We start from the raw sequence: 1,562 nt of genomic DNA, 5'->3' as shown, positions 1-1,562 counted from the left end.
CAGAACATCGTGTGACTATAAAGGCAAAAATCAAAGTGATGCAACAGAAGCCAAAGAAAATTGGCTTCTAGAACTAAGAAATAACGAATTTCTCTTGTTCTAAACCACCCAGTTTGTCTGCATTGCGTATCATATACTACGTATGGATATTTCTTCTTTAATAAATACACTGTATGAGTTCTTTACCTACTTATAGGTCAAGCTTCCTATGTTTTTTTTTTTTTGTATTTAATTTGCTTTCTTACATAGCAGTGAGTCATATCCCTTTCTAATGTGTTAAATGGCACTATATCTAGAATGGTTTTTGGACCAACTCTTTTGCCTCTTCTTTTCGATTTTCTATTGTAGTTTCAATTAAGCTAAGCTTCAATTACTGTACTTTTAAAAAATAGAATATATTACCTGGGAGAACTAGATTTTTCATTTATTTCTCCCTTTTCAGAATTTTCATACTATTCTTATCTATTTCTATTCCCTTAGTTTTCTTGTGATTTCTGTTTTTAATTAGAAATTGTGTTTCAAATTTGATTAAATATTAAGCCTGGGGTGTTTTTACGGTAAAAGAAAAACAGATAATCCCTTTCCTGAAGGGGGGTAGGATCAGAAACAAAAGTAGAGAGGAAATTGTTTTATTACATTCACTTTCACACAAATGTAAAATCAATTTCATGATCGTATTACAGTTTGACAGTAGTGACAACTACACCTGAATTTAAAGTGAAATTATAATATAATTTTGAGAGAAAATCTCAGTGGTTTAAAATGAGTGGTTAAAAAAGAGATCACTTATCTATTTACATTTTCAAAATGCACGGAAGTTTAAATTAGTTGCAAATGGATGCAATTTTTCTTTATCTTAAACTATTTAAAAACTACATGCCAGCCAATTCCCTATTCCCTGTATCTTTCACCTATGTGCCTGACATGAGATTTAAACTTTATCACTCTATTTAGTGACTTAGTTGTTATTCCTTCTCGTTAAGAGCATTTTCTGTTTGACTTCAGTTAGAAGGAGTGAATGACACAATCTGCGATTTGCTTAAGGGATAAATCATTCTTAATCCATTTTTGTATAATCCCCTAGGCCTTGGAAAACTAATCGTGCTTCCTGTTGAAGTTAACTACAAGGGGTTTGATTTAGAGTCGGCTTATTATGATGGGTAGATGTGTTACAAAATTTGACTCTCCTTTATCCTTTCAAGTGATTAATTAATTGAAATGTGAAACTTAAACTACAACTTATTTGAGAAACATACTTAAAAACTGAGTTTGGATTGTCAAGGAAATTTTTATAATAAAAATCAGTTTCAAATAGTGAAGTAAATTTACAAAAGAGCAATCATTCAAACAATTGATATACAACGTGTAATTGTTTTCAATAAAAGCCCAAATCAAAGACCAATCAATCTATAACTTACAAAAGTGAGGATTTTACAGGAAGTTTCATACTATGATACTTATTAAATACATGTCCTGCTGAAAATACTGAAAGTCAACGTTTCAACAGAATATTTCTTTTCCATGGCATGGGTACCCAATTACTTTCTAAAGCTTATAGTTTT

Source organism: Homo sapiens, chromosome 3, assembly GCF_000001405.40.
Source record: "Homo sapiens chromosome 3, GRCh38.p14 Primary Assembly".
Classification (NCBI taxonomy): Eukaryota; Metazoa; Chordata; class Mammalia; order Primates; family Hominidae; genus Homo; species Homo sapiens.
The sequence above is the reverse complement of the archived record's forward strand: the minus strand, read 5'-3'. Positions refer to the sequence as shown.